Raw genomic sequence first — 17,082 nt, 5'->3', positions numbered from 1 at the left:
GTGTTTCAGTTTAACTAAAACCAAACTCATGGTTCAGAACTGCCATTCTCTCAGAAAGACTCAAAATTGCAGCATGATCATTGTCCTCTCTCCATCACCCCTGCCATACAGCTACCCAGTCCTGGGGTGTCTTCTTCCCCTGTTCCTTCATCTAACCTACATTTTCTATCGCTGGAACTCCTATCTGGCTGAGGTTTGCACACCTCAATCGATACAGTGGCCTCCTACCTGTTCTCTTTACCTCCTGACTCACTCCACTGTTCCATCAAAGCGTATTGCCACCAAATCAATCATAAAACACCATCTTGGTTCTGATGTCTGTATCCCTAATTAGCTACCAAATTTCATTCGGGTGGTAATGAGTCAAGACAGGCCTCTGGCCTCCCTTCACATCCTCCAATTCCATTCCTCCTGACATGAAGACTGAAACTTCCTTTCTCCAAAGACACACTGGACATTCCTACCCTGTGGCTTTACTCCAGTCATTCCTTCTTTTTGGAATATCTCCCTTGCTTTTGTCCTAGCCAGCTCCCAGCTGTCATTCAGGTAACCACCACCTGCTTTCCTGTATAGTTTGTACCTCTGGGTATAAATGAGTGCTATATCAGTTTGTGTCTTGCTCTCCCTTGAGGGAAGGGACTGTATTCACAGTGCCTTGCATGTTTCAGGACATAAACATTCATTTGCATGATTGAATGGATCACTTTATCACAACTTTGCATCCAGAGATCTGTGGTTTCCACAGCTACCAGTACCAGCTCATTTCCACCCTAGATGGGTCTGTGATAGTTGGGCCCCACAGAAAAAAGATCTTATTCAAGTTATCCCATAACCTATTTTTTTCATTTTTTCCTGCATCCTTGTAGTCCATCTGTTTTCACCATAACCCATTTTTGCAGTATAAGTTCCAAACTTCCCAGGAACCAAGATCAGTATAAGGCAGCAAACAAGAGAAACAGTAGATATTTTGCCAACAGGAGGAGCTGTTCTTGGCAGGCTAAAATCTGACACCACCTAGCTTTAACACCAATCCTAGTTTCAAGGGAACACTTGGGGTATTCAGTAGGAGGCCCTGGTTAATTCAGAATAGCTGCAGGGGATCTCCAGGAGAGAAGACAACTTGCATTAGCCTGTACTTATTAGAGTTTTATAGATAGTGATTAAACACTTGTTAAAAAGCAATTATTAAACAACTAAACACCTGCGAATGACCCCTTGAAGCATGCAGCCTGAAGACAGCAGGATCCAGTCATCTGCGAGCTTGCTGGAAATGCAGTCTCAAGTCCCATCCCCAGCCTACTGAATCAGAATCTGCATTTTACATGACCCTCTAATGATTTGTGTCCACATCAAAGGTTAAGAAGCACTGCCATAAACATTCTTTATTAATCTCTTAAAAGACATATTCTAAGAGTCAGTGTTATAAAAGTTGTCAGCAAACTACCGCTCCACAGGGACTTGCTTTGTCCTCAAAGGGCAAACAGTGGGAAATACTCATGAAATGAAAGGTGTCACTATTGACCTGTCCCATTCCTCCCAGTTGCTATCTGGTCCCTTCTCTTCCTGGCTCAAGTCAAGGGGCAGTTGTGATCTGAGAGGCTGTTGAAATAGAGGTAGTGGGGAGGAGCAGGGAGAAGTGGAGGGGTTGTATGGAGATGCGACCACCTCTCCTCGCAAATCTTCCTGCACTCTGTGGAGTGACTCTCCTGCTCCCACTGCAGCAAGTCAGAAGTGGTCAGAGCAAGAAGCCTTGGCAGCAAGGAGTGCTGGGTGTTTTCTGAAGGACCGCCAGCCCAGCTGGTTGAAGAGAAAGGCTTCCCCAAACCTGGAAACAATGTAAACATCCACCAACAGATGAACAGGTAAAGAAATTATGGCATAGCCATATGATGGAATACTACTCAGCAAGAAAACAGAATAAATTATTGATACATGCAGCAATATAGATAAATCTCAAGATAATTTTTCTAAGTGAAAGCAGACAGACCAGAGAGAGAAAGAGAGAGAGAGAGAGGGAGAAAGAGAGAGAACACATACTGTGTGATTGTATTTATGTAAAACTCTAGAAAATGCAGACTAATCCTTAGTGACAGGCAGCAGATTGGTGCTTCTTGGGAATGGGGGACAGGCAAGGGCAGGAGGGAGGGATGACCGAGGGGGCACAAGGAGACTTTTGGGGGTGATGGATGTGTTCTCTATCTTGATTTGGTGGTGATGGTTACCTGGGTATATATGAATGTCAAAATTTATCAAATTGTACAGTTAAATGCTCAGCTTATTTCATGTCAATTATACCTTAATAATGCCATTTAATAGACAGAGAGAGAGAGAAAGCTGCTGGTCAGAGTAGCCAAGATCTAGGAACAAACGACAAGAGAAAAATAATGGAGAGAAGCCTGGAAGCCCAGAGCTGGGGCAAGGTGGAAGCAGGAAGTCAGGTGCACATCCTGGCCCCCATTGGCCTCCGCGCGGTAGGGAAGTGGTCTGCCTTGGTAGGGCTCCACCCTGGGCATGGCTGACCGGACAGGAACTCATCTGGCAGAGCAATCCAGGCCCCACTTCATCTCTGGTCCAAAGGATTCTTTCCAGAACCAGTGGAAGGCTGGCTTCCAGAAACATATGCTTCCTGTGATGGAGAGAAGCCACCTTCCCAAACTGGCTCTGAAATGGACCTTGCCCATCATGGAAACAAGGGACATTTGGGGTCTATCCATTTGGAGTGATGCCTGGCTCTGCCTTTTCTAAGTCAAAGTCAGATGGCTGTTTGGCTGAAGAGTGCGGCATTGCTCACAAGGACAGTGGCCCCATGACATGCAGTACTTTTTTGGGATGAGGGAAGAATGGAGTTAGCTGGATTTGGGGGCCTACTTAAGCTTGTCAGGTGCTGACCACCTGGTAGGCAGGGCTGCTTCCAATCCCTTTCACCCTGGAGCCTAGGTGAGAAACGGCTTATGGTGGCCATGCTCAACCTCAGTGACTTCCACTCTCTGTGTGATCACTGAGGATATGTTACCGTGTATAAAGGGCAGCTCTGACAGAGCCCCTTCCCTGTCTATTTAGCCAGCATCCCAAGCTGGCTTTCTTTACTAGTGTCACTTCTGCTAACTAAGCAGCCATAGCAATTTCCTCCAGGGCTGGAAGCCTGTGGGAAACCTGCATTTGTTTCAGTGACTCTGAGAGGGGAGAGAGAAGCATGGACAAGCCCCACTGAAGAAGACTGAACATAGATACGGCATCACAGGAATTTACACCGAAGACAAATGCCAATGCTGGCTTCATATTTTGAAGATTAAAGTGTAATTTCCATATGGCAAAATTCATCCTAAGTGAATAGGTCAGTGAGTTTTGATGAATGTGTACCGTAGTGTAACCATCAGTAAAATTAAGATATAGATCCACTCCATTACTCCCAGGATTTTCTCAGATTCCTCTAGTCAACCCCTCTCCCCTACCCCCAGTCCCTGGCAACTACTGGTCTGTTTTCTGTCCCTAAATATTTGCTTTTGCATAAATAAAACTCTAGAAGATGCAGACTAAACCATAAATCTGTAATCAAATAGTATGCAGACTTTTGAGTCTGGCTTCTTTCATTTAGCATGTTTTTGAGGTTTATCCATGTTGCAGCATGAATCACTAATTCATTCCTTTGTATTACTAAGTAATATTTCATTGTACAGATGTACCATAGTTTGTTCATCCATTTCAGTTGAAGGACATTTGGGTTTCCAGACCTTGAAAATTTTAAATAAAGCCACCATTAACATTCATGCAAAGTTTGTTATGTGAACAAAGGATTTTATTTCAGTTAGGAGTGAGATTGTTGGGTCACATGGTAAGTGCATGTTTAACTGTAAAAAGAAACTGTCAAACTGTTTTCCAAAGTGGTTGTACCATTTTATATCCGATTAGCAGTAGAAGAGAGTTCCAACTGCTTCACAACATCCTGACCAGCACTTAGCATTTATTGTTAGTTAGTTTTTATTTATTTATTCATTTATTTAAATATTTTTTTGAGACAAGGTCTTGTTCTGTCGCCCAGGCTGGAGTGCAGTGGCAGAATCATGGCTCGCTGTAGTCTCCACCTCCCAGGCTCAAGCAATCCTCCTGCCTCAGCCTCCTGAGAGGCTGGAACTACAGGCCTGTGCCACTCACCATGTGTGGCTAATTTTAAAATATTTTGTAGAGTCAGTGATCTCTCTATGTTACCCAGGCTGGTCTTGAACTTCTGACTCAAGAGACCTCACTGGTATGAGCCATTGTGCTCAGCCAGTTTTTAAGCCATTTGGATGGTTGTGATGGCTCATGCCTATAATCCCAGCACTTTGGGAAGCCAAGGAAGGCAGATCACTTGAGTCCAGGAGTTCGAGACCAGCCTGGGCAATATGTCAAAACCCCATCTCTAAAAAAATACAAAAAAATGGGTGTGGTGGTTGGTGCACGCACATAGTCCCAGCTATTTGGGAGGCTGAGGTGAGAGAATCACCTGAGCCTGAGCCCAGGAGGCAGAGGTTGCAGCGAGCCGAGATTGCACCACTGCACTCCAGCCTGGGTGACAGAATTAGAGCCATCCTAGTAGCTGTGTGGTGGTATCCTGTTGTGTTTTTTGTTTGTTTGTTTGTTTGTTTGAGACAGAGTCTTGCTGTGTCACCCAGGCTGGACTGTAGTAGCTCGATCTCAGGTCACTGCAACCTCTGTCTTCCGGGGTTGAGTGATCCTCTTTCCTCAGCCTCTCAAGTAGCTGGGACTAAAGGCACACACCTTCATGTCTGGCTAATTTTTTTGTACCTTTTGGTAGAGACAGGGTTTCTCCATGTTGGTCAGGCTGGTCTCGAACTCCTGACCTCAGGTGGTCTACCTGCCTGGGCCTCCCAAAGTGCTGGGATTACAGGCGTTAGCCACCGCGCCTGGCCTTGTTGTAGTTTTAACTTGCATTTTGCCAATGGTAAATGACGTCGAACATCTTTTCATGTGCTAGTTTGCCATCCATTAAGTATTTACACATTAGGCCAGTGGCTTGATTGGGGTTTCTGAGGGAATGTCGAGGCAGAGCAGGGTGGACAGTGTGGTATTGGCTGGTTTAGATATAATTTTGGTGGGCTCCGAGCTGTAGTGGTGGTCCTAGGTTCCTGATACCAGGCCCGGGGATGATTAAATCATGGAATATTGCCTCCTGAGGGCCAGGTAGAGGAGATATGGCTCTGGACTGGTTAGTCTGCTTATCAAAGGCATGTTCCCCTCTGGGTCCTTTGCTACCTCTAAGAATTGGCTAGCTCCTGGAGGGGTAATCTCTCCCCAGCCAGAAAGGTTAAGATGTCAAAACATCACAATATACAGAAAATCTTAAACATATTTACAATATGTTGCAGGAAGTCAGGGATCCCAAATGGAGGAACCGGCTGAAGCCATGACAGAAGAACGTGGATTGTGAAGATTTTATGGACATTTATTAGTTCCCCAAATTAATACTTTTGTAATTTCTTATGCCTGTCTTTACTGCAATCTCTAAACATAAATTGTAAAGATTTCATGGACACTTATCACTTCCCCAATCAATACCCTTGTGATTTCCTATGCCTGTCTTTACTTTAATCTCTTAATCCTGTCAGCCGAGAAGGATGTATATCGTCTCAGGACCTTGTAATAATTGCGTTAAGTACACAAATTGTACAGCATGTGTGTTTGACCGATATGAAATGTGGGCACCCTGAAAAAAGAACAGGATAACAGCAATTGTTCAGGGAATAAGAGAGATAACCTTAAATTCTGACTGCCGGTGAGCCAGGCAGAACAGAGCCATATTTCTCTTCTTTCAAAAGTAAATGAGAGAAATATCTCTGAATTCCTTTTCTCAGCATGGAACGTCCCTGAGAAAGAGAATGCGCACCTAGGGGTAGGTCTCTGAACTGGCCCCCCGGGGCGTACCTGTCTCTTATGGTCGAGATTACAGAGGTGCAATAAACTCCAGTCTCCCATACCGCTCCCAGGCTTATTAGGAAGAGGAAATTCCCGCCTAATAAATTTTCGTCATACCGGTTGATCTCAAAACCCTGTCTCCTGATAAGATGTTATCAATGACAATGGTGCCCAAAACTTCATTAGCAATTTTAATTTCGTTTCAGTCCTGTGGTCCTGTGATCTCGCCCTGCCTCCACTTGCCTTTTGATATTCTATTACCCTTTTAAGTACTTGATGTCTGTCACCCACACCTATTCGCACACTCCCTCCCCTTTTGAAAATCCCTAATAAAAACTTGCTGGTTTTGTGGCTTGTGGGGCATCACGGATCCTACCAATGTGTGATGTCTCCCACGGACGCCCAGCTTTAAAATTTCTCTCTTTTGTACTCTGTCCTTTTATTTCTCAAGCCAGTCGACGCTTAGGAAAATAGAAAAGAACCTACGTGATTATCGGGGCAGGTCCCCCGATAACAATACACCATGGGAAATCTGCTACAGTGTTGAATTTGCGGTAGGAAGAAAAGCTACAGTGGAGAGTGGAAGATCACCAAAAGATCATCTCAGAGAGGATGTGAGTCTGGGATGGAGTTGGTTCAACATTAGGGCCAAGATATTATTCAGGAGAAATATTTTCAGCAAGGACCCAGTGGAAATGTAGCAATGTGGTGCCTGGCTCTCAGCCATCAGATGCCCAGCTGCCAATAGATGTCATGCTCCCTAACCTGCGAGGGAGGGGCTGTGAAGTCATTTTTAATCTGCATGCCCCACTCCCACAAGACAGTCTGACAGTGATAGATACAGCTCAAGAGAAGTGCTGAGAATGCCACAGGCTGACTCTCCCAGATAAAGAACATGAAATGATTTCATTACTTTTGCTCTCCCTGACAGCTCTCTAGAAAACAATCATTGGTTTAAGCAACCAGCCTCCAGGCCAGAACCAGCAGGCCTAGGGAAGGAGTGACTTTTTTGTTTTTCTCAGGAGGATTGTCTAGGTGAAGTGCTTAGGGCATGAGACCTGGGCCAGAAATTGCTTTTACTCTCATGGTCTTATTCTGAAGATTTATTTGCAGGCTTAGGGATGTTCTAGTTGCAAATAATTATCTTTGCTCAGTGAATGATTCCCCATCCTCATCCCTTACATGAATTCACATGAAAGAAGGCATATTTCTTCCCTTTCTAGCCCCAATAGCATTAGAGGTCACAGTTGGTTTTATTCTTGGGGATACAGAAATAGCCACCCATTCCCTTTAACTGGGTGCATGGTTTGGCCCAAGGCATGGGGTGTGACCGAATGAATTTACCCCAACCCAGGTCATTCACCTGATGGTTTGTGTTCTGCTGGAGAAAGATCTCCACTGGAAAAGGCCTGGACCTGAGGCTCATTCCAAAGGGCCCTGGCTTAACACTGCAGAATCCTCCTTCCAACCTGCACAGCTTTGAGCCTTCACTGTACCAGGGTCTCTAGAAGACTTACACGGATAGAGAATTTACTACTCTATCTAGGGCTTCGAACTGTAGCTATTAATTTTTGAATGTTTTTAAAGCACTACTGCAAAGTCTAAGTTTTGTTCATTTATTTCTTTAAGTATTTATTGTGGTATATATAATGTTGTTATAAATCATTTAGATTTATGAGTTGGTGTATTCCACTCTTATGCATGCCCTGCAGAGCCTAAGAACCCTAAAGAGATAATTATTATATATGCTCAGTTCTTAGACGTCCTTGAATAGTGTTCTCACCATGCATAGAAAACACGAGCCCCAGGGGAGTTTTGGTAGCCAGCTTGTTTTCTCCTTGAATTGGACATAGGTGGGAGGATGTTTTTTTCCTTCCTGCTCCCAAAGAACTCTTCTTTTCTTGCATAGAGAAGAATATAGAACTAAATATTTAATTAGGAGAATAAACACCAGGAGCTTGTAAAGAACTCAGTGTGAAGAGAGAAGGATAAGAAGTTTAAGGCAGGTGAAGAAGCTTCTTACACATATCTATCAAGAAAAATCATAACATTTTGTCCAGTCATGGTGGCTCACACCTGTAATCCCAGCAGTGTGGAAGTTTGAGGTGGATGGATGGCCTGAGCTCAGGAGTTTGAGACCAGCCTGGGCAACATGGTGAAACTCTGTCTCTAATAAAGAGACAGAAAAAAAAGAAAAGAAAAATCATAACATTTAGAAAAACAAAATAAAGAAAATGTAAAAGTCACCCATAATTTCACCACTCTGAGTTCATCATTGCTCACATTTTGGTGTATACTCTTCTAGGCTGTGTAGGTTGCAATGTGTGAATGTGCATTTTTGCATGCATGTGGTTTTTTTTTTTTTTTAACAAAAAGTAGTACACTGTGCATGATTGTAACTTGCTTTTTAAAATTCAAATATATTGCCTGACAAAGACAAGTAAAAATAAAATAAAATAAAATTCAAATATATCACAACCATTTTTTATGTCCATGTACAACAGCATAAGGATGTGCCACAATTTACCCAACTAATTCCCTCTAGGTTAGGTCTTTGCATCAAGCTAAATAGACAACCAATAAGTCCTAAATGATTCTGGCACCAAAGTTCAGAAAAGAGCTTTATGAATTAGAAAGAAATTAAGTGCAATGCCCATAGGCTGAAGACGGGAGGCTCACTAACCCTGAAGAATGGGGGAGAGAAATGTGCTAAGGGGCTAAAAATTAGGGTGGATAGAATACAAGTTAGGGAATGGATCTAAAATAGTTGAATCTGTGATGTCAAAAAAATATATAGTTTGGAAGCTGAATATTCTAGTTGTTTTCCTAGGAAAGTTGTGTAACCCTTTTGAGCCTCAATTTCTTCCTCTGTAAAATGGGAATAATTGTTTCTCTATCAGAGTGACTGTAAACATAAAATAAGGAGTTATACAAGACTCTGAACACTGCCTGTCATAGAATAAGTGCTCAATATTTCTTAGTTCCCCTGCTCCACTTCTACCTCTTTGGGTTGTATTGCTCTGGGAAAGTGTGTGGAAGCGAGGCTTGGACTCTGCACTGTGAGTGGACTTGTGTGCTAATGTGTTCTGATAACACAGGGGCCAGTTGCTTGGAAGGTGGTCAGAAATTAGTGAGTTTCATGCAGATGATTTTTCAAGTTAAATAAAACTTCTCTGAGTCTGAGGTCTGAATGAAAATTCTCTGGGTTTGAGGTCTTACTGAAGTGTTTTCCTTTCACAGCTCTAGTTGGCTGGCAGGTGTGGTATAACACAGTCATTCTCAGAGTGTGGTTCCCAGACAGCAGCAGCATTACCTGGAGCTTGTTGGAAATGCAAATTCTCAGGCCCCACCCAAGACCTACAGAATCAGAAACTCTGGGGCTGGATCCAGCAATCCGTGTTTCAACAAGCCCTGCAGGTGATTCTGATCTCAGAGATTGACTAGTGTGGCAAGAGTCCTGGAAACCCAGAATCCCTAGATCTGGAATATACTCTAGCTTACCATTCACTGTGGGGCCTTGGGCAGGTCACTTCCTTCCTCTAAACCTTCATTTTCTCACCTGGACAATGGGAAGATAATATCTTCCTCGTGACCTCAAATGATTGTTTCACAGGCCCAATGAGTTTAGAAAGGAGAAAGACATTCAATTAATGTATTCTAGAAATGGAATGTATACTTACTATTCTTGGTTCTTAGGCAGGGCAATGTAGAAAGCATCCCTATGTGATGAAGAATGGTTCTATTTTGATCATTGAAAGAAGAGTCTGTGCCCTCCTTGGAAAATCTCACTGGATGCTTTAACAGCCACCGTGGTAGTTTCTCCTATGCAAACCTAAATCCCTGTGCAAGGACAGTCAGTATCTCAAAATGTAAGGATGATATCAGTCACTGGGAAAAAAAAAAATTCTGGCAAAGTAAAAAACCCTTAGACATACAGAGTAATGTTTATTATTTGTTCTCCTTTTTCAGTCCTCAGTGAAAATAGAGAACAGCAAGTCACCCCTTAGAGGTGCACACCCCTCATCTACATGAATGGTATTACGTTGTCTCAGCCCTCCTTTCTTTCCGGCCGCACAGTTGTGCTTTCTTTCACCTCTGCTCAAAGGCTTCATTGTGCTCCCCTTTATTAGTCATCTTGGTTTCTCTTCTCTGAACCATTTCCAGTTTCTTTAGCCACAGCCTCCTATGACGTTCAGTCCTCTTCAGTTCTGGAGCCCAGCATATACTTATTAGGCTGGTGCAAAAGCAATTGCTGTTTTTGCAATTAAAAGTAATAGAACCATCAGAGAGGGTGACCACCATCAGAGAGGATGACCTCATGGTTCTAGCACACTCCACGGACAAAGCACTGCCCTGATGCCTCAGATCAAGGCTATGGCTCCTGGAGAAGCACTGGTGTGGATCAGTTTTACCCTAACTTCTCTTGTCATTCATGTTTTATTTTCATTTCCCTTTGTGTACCATCTTTTGTTTGTGTCTAATGATCTTTTCTATTCTCCCAACTTCTTTGATTTCCTAAATAGAAAGTAAATTTAATATATTTATATTTGCACAGATATTTAGAATAAATGCTCATAAAAAGATTGGAAGGAGAAACACCAGTATCTTAAAAGTAATTTTCCTTGGAAAGTGAGATTACAAGTGATTTCATTTGTTTTTTTCTTGCTTCTCTGAATATTTAAGTTTTTCGATGGTTGACACATCTATTGTTTAATTAAAAAAAAGAAAAAAGAAAATTGGAAAATTAACTCTTAGCATGCTCACAAAACAAATAAAATATAAAATGCTTGTGTTCAATGAGGTCTCATAGACCCACATGAAAGTGTCGTCTCCTGCAAGACACAAAGCTGTGCTTGGTCATAGGACTGTTCAGGACTGTCTCAGTTTTAGCCCTTGGAACTAGGCAAACCAGGACAGGTGGTCGCCCTCTCTCCCAGCCCCCTCCATCCTCTTTTTGTCTGTTAAACCGCCATGGCTGCTCACTGGTCTGTTAGGGCCCATCTCTCTTGTATCTTGCTTTGTCATTTCTAGGGAAGTTCAGCTCAATTGAGCCTTGAGGTAGGAAGACACCTCAGGAACAATATTTGTGTCTGCTGGTTCAGGTGAGGCTTAGCGGGAGTCAGAAGGCAAATATGAAGAAGCAATGGAACCAAGCTCCCTACCAGGGAGAGAGGGAGAGCAAAGCCTTTGGGCCACCATGAAAAGATGAAGGTCCAGTGGAAGAATCAATGTTGCTACGGGAGCTATTGAGAGTGCTTTGTGGACACACCTCTTGAGAGCGTGAAGAGAGAGTAAGCAAAGTCCAGGCTTTCTTCCCACTGACATTATTTGGGAACTTTTGTTACCTGTATTTCTCTCTTCTATTTTAAATATGTTATATTTTCTTATCCAGAGATCTGAGTTTATGAATGTTTCACTCTAAATCAGTGGTTCTCAATGCTGGCTGCCCAGGAAAATCACCTGAGAACCTTCTAAAATGCTCAGGCCCCCTCCTAGGCCACTAAAATATATATTATTTTCATTTTTCATATGTGTATATATGTGTATATACACACACATATCTAATAATTACATATAACATATAATTATGCGTAAAAGAATTTACGTATAATATTATAATTACATAGTATGTAGAGATGCTCCTTGACTTATGATGGGTATATGTCCCAATAAGCCCATCATAAGTTGAAAATATCATAAGCCGAAAATCCATCTAATAATAAACCAAGTGTAAAGTCAAAAAAATCATATGTTGAACCATTATAAGTTGGGGACCATCTGTATAATATTTTATACATATGTAAAATTAGGGTTGCTCCCTATGAGGTGGACTGGCCCAGGCTGGAAATGAGGACATTATGTTCCCATCAGTGTTTATTTATTTATTTATTTATTTATTTTTAAGAGACAGAGTCTCACTGTTACCCAGGCTGGAGTGCAGTGGCGAGATCATGGCTCACTGCAGTCTCAACCTCCTGTGCTCAAGCGATCCCCCTACTCAGTCTCCCAAAGTGTTGGGATTATAATCATAAGCCACCATGCCCAGCCCCATCAGTGTTTAGAAAGCACAAGAGACATCAGTCAAGAATTTCAACATTGGCCTATGCTTTTCCATACTGAGAGCCCACAATCTGGGATCCAGATGGAGTAATTTGAGGGTCAGATGTTGGTATGCAGGGCAGGTATACGTAGACCTGCTGGAGAAAAGATGTGAGCTGCGTGCATACTTGTTTTATGTTTTCTCCAAAGCTTATAGCCAGGCTGTTGAGGAACATGGGCAGCAAGTGTGAGGTCAAGGAAGCTATCAAGAGCCAAGAGGCCTCTTCAACCCTCACCTCTCAACCTAGAAGCTCTAAGCCAATGGTTCAAAACCATGGCTGTACAATAGGAGCACTTAAGAGATTTCCTAAAAATACAGAGGCCAGGTCCTCACCCTCAAGGTTCTGACTTGCTTGGTTTGAGGAAGGGGCTGGTTTATCCACATTATTTAAATATTCTCCAGGTGATTCTAAAGTGTAGCCAGAATGAGAACCGCTCATTTTAACTTTGGTAGGGCAACCAACTAGGTGGTCAGTCAGGACATGGGGCCAGGGGAGTGGGAAGGGGTAAAGTGGCTCAGAGAACCGTGTTTGCCCAGCAAAAAGATGTTAACCCTGGAATCGGTCTAGATGCTGATTTTTATTTGGCCCTTTTGCCTACTGATTTTTTTTCATTTTACAATTTTTTTTTTTTTGACACAGAGTCTCGCTCTGTTGCTCAGGCTGGAGTGCAGTGGCACAATCTCGGCTCACTGCAACCTCCGCCTCCTGGGTTCAAGCGATTCTCCTGCCTCAGCCTGCCAAGTAGTAGCTGGGATTACAGGCATGTACCACCAACCTGGCTAATTTTTGTATTTTTAACAGAGACAGGGTTTCACCATGTTGGCCAGGCTGGTCTCGAACTCCTGACCTCAGGTGATCTGCCCGCCTGGGCCTCTCAAAGTGCTGGGATTACAGGCATGAGCCACCGCGCTGGCCTCATTTTACAATTTTTAATGTTTTAAAGTGTCTATTTTTCTTTGGATTCAGAAGTGTTAGCTACATCAACTCCTGGGGATCCTGTTGGTTCTGGAGGACTTGTTAAAACAGATTGCTGGGCCCCACCCGCAAGGTTTCTGATTCAGTAGCCCTGGGGTGGAGCCCAGTATTTGCATTTCTAGCAAGTTCCCAGTTTATGCTGGTGCTTCTGGCCAAAGAACCATCCTTTGAGAACTGCTGGGCTTAATTTATTTTATCGTTTCATCTTTTTGATATCTTAGTTTTCTGGATTTAATATTTCAGTTAGATCTCAATTTTCCTCAGCTTTTTTTCTTCTTTTCATTAAACTATGTGATATTTAAATTTTTTCTTAATCTGTATTTTAATCTAGATTCTTATACTAATTTTAACTCTAATTTTTACTCCATTTTTGTTTTACTAGTCATTTCCCCCACTTTTTGAAGTAGTTTTTGAGAATTCAATACATTGTTATTAACTATTCTCACCCTGTTCTAAAATAAGTTCATGATAGCTCTCTTGAACTTATTGTCTATCTAACTGAAATTTTGTATCCTTTGACCAACATCTCCCCAACCCCCATCAGTAGTTTTTAAATTTGCCCTTTTAAACCATATATGACAGACACCCTTAGTTGCCCACTCAAGAATCATTTTGTGCCGCCCCCCTCTTTCTGTTAACCAAACCCCTATTTTGTTGAGGTATTGGGTAACCATGTGTTTCACGCACCCCTCTCCAGTCTCAGGGGTGATTCTTGATTAGGCTAAACCAATTAGATAATTCCATTTCCGTTGCCAGTGACAATGGTGATGGAGTGCGAAGGGAAGCCGGCTAGTGGGCTCTGAGAGTTTTTCTTATAACTCAGAAACATCATCTTTTCCAAACTTCAGACACTGTTGTGTAAGGGTTTGATCCTTGGAAGAGAAATAGTCACCTGGCATCTATGAGGAAACAAACCTTAGGACCAAAAGTCAATAAAATTTTGAAGATGGCAGAGCAGAAAGACAGAAGGAACCCATGTCCTTGATGATGGTGTTTAGGCATTCATTGGACCAGTAAGCCCTGGAACTGCTTTATCTGCAGACTTTTTTTTTTTTTTAAAGAGATGGAGTCTCGTTATGTTGCCCAGGCTGGACCTGAAATACTGGGCTCAAGCAATCCTCCTGCCTCAGACTCACTAGCAGCTGGGACTACAGGTGTGCCACCATGCCTGACTAGGACTTTTTTTAATGTGAGATTCCGTTTTTTAAGCATTTTAAGTGAGGTTTTCTGTTGCTTGAAGCCAAAAGCATCCTCAATGAAGTATGTCATTTTACCCTTCTTAAAATAACTATATTTTTATTTGTCTGTAGATATTTATAGTTATATCTCATAATAAGTTCCTTGAGGTTGGGAATCATGACATTTTACCTGGAGTTTCCCAAGATCTTGAATACAGTATAATTTTGTTTGAGAGAACAGGTGAATTATTTCATTTGCATAAACATTAAGATTTACTTCATGTCCATTTCCTGCTAATGACTGGGAACCCTAAAATAAAATTGAGCATATTGCACTTTTTTTTCTTTTTTGAGACAGGGTCTGTCTGTTGCCCAGACTGGAATGCAATGATGCTATCTTGGCTCAGTGCAACCTCTGCCTCTCAGGCTCAAGAGATCCTCCCACCTCAGCCTCCGCAGTAGCTGGGACCACAGGTGTGTGCCTCCAAGCCTGGCTAATTTTTGTATTTTTTTGTAGAGCAGGGTTTCACCACATTCAGGCTGGTCTTGAACTCCTGGGCTCAAGCGATCTTTCGACCTCAGCCTCCCAAAATGCTGGGATTACAGGTGTGAGCCACCGTGCGTGGCCCATGTAGCACTTTTGATTATACAAAACAAAAACAGTGTCTAACTGCCTTAAGGGGAAAGGAAAGAGGGGCTTTATTATAAGGCTATCTGTGGATGGACCTAGCACACTCTCAGCCCTACCGCTGATTCTCTCTGTGTCGCCCTCTCATCTGACCCAGGTGTTCTCTCTCGTTGACCTGTCCTTCTAGCTCCATGTTTGTGAGTTTCACCCTTTTCACTGCCAATTGGCCAATGGGCCACAAATCCTTCAGTCCAGATTTCAGAAGGACAAGTTAGATTTGCTCATTATCACTCCTCTAGGGCAGATGACCTCAGGCCCGCTACCTTGTGGATCACTGGATGGCTTTGGGTCAAGTGCCACCTTTGATCTAAGCAGTGTTTACTTTAGAACAATAAAGTATCCTGATGCATCTTCTCTGAAACTGTAAGAGGAAGTTAGGAATAAAAGGCACCATGATTAATGTGTTTAGAAGGGCAATTTAGATAATAACTCTGGAAAGAAATGTATTGTGGTGAATAGTGGGTGACTCTTTTATTTTCTGCCTTTTACTTATCTGCATTTTTCCAGTTTATCTACAGTGAGCATGTATTACCCAAAAAAATATTAAAATGTTTATTAAAATATGAGTTGTAAGTAATTAAAAGGTAAAGACAGTCACTATTGGGTTTGGTGCACAGCATGATACCATGAGCAATTAAGTGCTTTCCTTTCTTACACTTTTTAGGGTGATGAACTCCATTTCAGAGACAGCAAATGTAAATGACACTAGATACCCTGTGTACACACTGTAGGCTATTTTGGTTCATTTGAATGTAGCATTGTAGTAATAAACCTATTTGGGTTAGTGTCAGGTGATGGCTGCTCGTAAGAGTGTTTGTGCTATGACTTCACTTACTATGTATTTAAATAGGCACCCAAAAGGACAGCCTGTGCAGGATGCTATTTTCATCTGCTTCCAATTTCTCTGTAAGTTCTGTCATCCAAATTGTAGCAGAGTACTCAGCCCTCAGTGAAAACCCACCGACATCAAATGCAATGCTTTTAAAAGCAATCAGTTTTATAATATGGGCAAGAGGAATAAATGTGATTTCAAAGAAAATGTCCTTCATGTAGTGGAGACTTTCTAAAACACTGGTCAACTCATGTCACTACTGCCCTTCAAAATGTCCAGGGCTCGTGGTTGCTGACTGTGATCTGCAATACCAAAATAGATGCTCCTTCACCAGTTATGATTGACCCCAAGGTTAAGGAAACAAAAGTTTCCTACAGGTTGAGGGTTCAGGACCTGGCTGGCGTGTAGAAATTTCTAAATTTCTATAGCTACAAACACACACACACACACACACACACACACTCTTATTAAACACACTAACAATACCCCTCCTAACTCTGATTTACAACCCAGGCCACTATGACTCTGACTGGACAGAGGACTGGCCTTACAAACATTCTTTTCTGATAAGCAATTGCAGACCTTAAGCCAGTTTCAGGCAGCTTATAAAGGCTGCATACAAACAGTTTTTGTGTCCTATAGTTCACTTTTTGATGTAAACAGCCAAATTCCACCTCATTTTAATGCTAAAACCCCACCCCAAAGTGAACACAGGATATATATTACATATGTTTACCCATTGTGCATGCACTTTGCTCCCCTTATAAATACAACTTTTGCCCCCAAACCTGCTGAATATGTGTGATACAGGCTGTGCAAGGCATAAAACCCAACCTGTCCTTCCCCTCTTCAAAGAGATAGCACCTTCAATCCACATTTTATCTTCTCAGCTTGTAAACCAGTTATCTCCAATAAAGCTCTCCTTTCTACAGTTTGGCCAATTAGGTGGTTTTTTTTGGACGACACCTAATCTAGTTCTATTTTTCACTTGATCTCCAGGATCGTGTCTCTGCTTTCCAACCTCACTGTCCGCCACATCTCTTTCATCACCTCCACTTTCTAACTGCATGTAATTGTCCTTCCTTGAACAAGCCAAGCGCTTTCAGGTCTCTGTGTATCAAAAACTCCTGTGGGTGTATGACAAAATGTGACCAAGAGCCACCACCAAAGGGGAAACCATTGTAGCTGTTTCACTGGCACTTGAGCAATTTTCCATCAGTCCCTTTCAGTAATGTCACCCCTGGCACTGTGAGTTTTCTACTTTTGCTTCATTGGCAGCCCCTCTCCCTGTCACCTTCTGGGGCATGGCACATATTCACCCAAGCATCTCGTTCAAAGATGACTTTGGTATGCCACATGGGACAGGAGAGTCAGCAGAGTGTGGAGACAGGGCCA

The 17,082-nt window shown here is 42.5% G+C and overlaps 3 annotated features.

Moving 5' to 3' along the window:
* Positions 5,901-6,412: an enhancer, noted in NCBI's record as "OCT4-NANOG-H3K27ac hESC enhancer chr4:153621867-153622378 (GRCh37/hg19 assembly coordinates)". NCBI's record gives its function as "activates a minimal SCP1, AML or CMV promoter by ChIP-STARR-seq in naive and primed H9 embryonic stem cells {active_cell/tissue: H9 hESC(naive and primed)}" and the evidence as "EXISTENCE:reporter gene assay evidence [ECO:0000049][PMID:30033119]".
* Positions 9,884-9,933: an enhancer, noted in NCBI's record as "active region_22044". NCBI's record gives its function as "activates an Ori minimal core promoter by ATAC-STARR-seq in GM12878 lymphoblastoid cells {active_cell/tissue: GM12878}" and the evidence as "EXISTENCE:reporter gene assay evidence [ECO:0000049][PMID:35858748]".
* Positions 9,964-10,193: an enhancer, noted in NCBI's record as "active region_22043". NCBI's record gives its function as "activates an Ori minimal core promoter by ATAC-STARR-seq in GM12878 lymphoblastoid cells {active_cell/tissue: GM12878}" and the evidence as "EXISTENCE:reporter gene assay evidence [ECO:0000049][PMID:35858748]".

This window comes from Homo sapiens, chromosome 4 (assembly GCF_000001405.40).
Source record: "Homo sapiens chromosome 4, GRCh38.p14 Primary Assembly".
In the NCBI taxonomy this organism is placed as follows: Eukaryota; Metazoa; Chordata; class Mammalia; order Primates; family Hominidae; genus Homo; species Homo sapiens.
Note: the sequence above shows the minus strand (reverse complement) of the source record. Positions and strands in the feature narration are given on the sequence as shown.